The 1,870-nt window shown below is 40.4% G+C and overlaps 1 protein-coding gene across 56 annotated transcripts in view; it reads left to right on the top strand.

The window, feature by feature from the left end:
- Positions 1-1,870, top strand: part of LPP (LIM domain containing preferred translocation partner in lipoma) — a 737,651-nt gene that overhangs the window by 143,900 nt on the left and 591,881 nt on the right. The gene's annotated exons all lie outside the window — the stretch shown is intronic.

Below are 1,870 nucleotides of genomic sequence, written 5' to 3' on the forward strand. Positions count from 1 at the left end.
AGAACAAGGGAGTGGGAGGGAGGCAAACAAGAAAAGAGAAGAAGCAGTGGAGAAAGGAGACGTTCTGCAGTGCCAGGCTTCTTGCCCCACACTCTTCCCAAATGTCAACATAGTTCCTTTAGGGGAAAAAAGTGGGAGGCTAGAATGGTAGGACAGGGCCACAATATGGAAGTGAAAAACCAGGGGCAGTTTCCTGAGCAGGGAATGATGTCATTCGATCTATAATTCAGTCTGGTTAATCTACTTATGCAACACCAATTGAAGGACACACTTAGATAACTCAGCCTTGAGTCAACAAATCTTGTGTAACACTGCCAAGGTCCATAGTGCAAGAATCAGCCCCCACTTCGGAAATAACAACCACCCCTCAGTGCCAAATTTTGGACATTGCTTGTAAATTTCAGACTCCTTCCCTCCAAGATACTGTTTTAGAGAATGTCGTAGGGTAAAAAATTCCAAGGGGTAAAGACATAAATTCCGTAATACTACAATAGATGGGAGGCTCTAATCAAGTAGATAAATTCTATTTTTGGAATTGTGAATAAAGCAGAAAAGATTCTTGGAAATCAGGAATTGAATAGATTGATGGTACAAATGAGAGACTATATGTTGCTTAAAGAAAACAAAAGATTGCCTATCAGGTTTTAAAATGTGAGTCAGTAGTTTATATAGTGATTCAAGCTGAACAGCTATCTTGGTTATTAACTAAAATCTTTTCTTTCCCCTTCCATTTTATATATGAAGAAACTATTAATACAAAAGTCATTATCAAAGGACACTGGGGCTAGGTTTCATTACCCAGCTTAATCCTTAATTTCATATTGAGCATTTCATATTGAAGTGAAACAATAAGGATATGTTTCTAGAGACTGATGAGACAACTGAATTGGACTTGGTTTTGACATTCAAAGGGATCAGGTAGAGGTACTTAGTTGAGCTCACTACTTCATTTTGGCAAAAGACATATGTCATAGAAATGTAGTAGCCATGATGGATTATGTATCTTTGAATTGGGAGCCTATGACAAATTTTCTCCAATGGGAAGTTTCTTCAGAGCCTATCATTGTTTCAACAATAATTAAAGTAATTTACAGAGAATGTGCTCATCTACTTTTACCTACTGTTATCTTTTTTCCAAGTTAATAAACTGAATATATTGTATAGATTGGTTGATAGCCTTCCTGAAATGAACATCCTTTGCAAACCTATCTCTCCAAACCCAAATCCTGCCCAAATTTCCCAATTGTGGTAGCAAGCCCAATGAGCTCCTGATACGATCCTAATAGGATCCTCTTCTCTGGAAATCCTCGACAGATCACACTTCTCTTTTCTTGGGAACAGCTTTCTGTTTCCTTGTCCAGAATGGATGCCGTTCTGTTATCCTGGTCACTCTCTGGGCCCCCTCCCTTTGTCCACCATGAGCACAGGCTACTGGCCACTGATCCTCCTGGGGGCACTAGCCTGGCTACCCCATTGCTTATTTTACCTTTGCTTCTCTTAAATACCATTGTTGGTGATTGCTCCACACAGCAATTGTTCTCACCTAAGTCTGTGGATAAGACTCACTTAGGGAGGTTTTACCAGAATTCAGCTCATCTCCCTAAATGTTTGGGTCTGGACTAGGGCACACACTTCTCGTGAGGCGCTTCTCATGAGTACCCCTTCTCAAACTTTACGGGTATCAATTTACTTATGGCCTGCAGTGCATAAAGTGAAAGCTTTCTGAAAAGACATTTAATCCATCGGTATGAGGATGAAAAAGACACACTCAGGGCATGAAAAGAGTGAGAAGGTCACAAAAAGGGTGTGGTCTCAGCTGGAGAGGAAGCTGAACAATCCTATAAAGGAACAAAAGCTCAGCGTCCTGACC

The sequence above is a fragment of the Homo sapiens genome, chromosome 3 (genome assembly GCF_000001405.40).
Source record: "Homo sapiens chromosome 3, GRCh38.p14 Primary Assembly".
NCBI classification, from domain to species: Eukaryota; Metazoa; Chordata; class Mammalia; order Primates; family Hominidae; genus Homo; species Homo sapiens.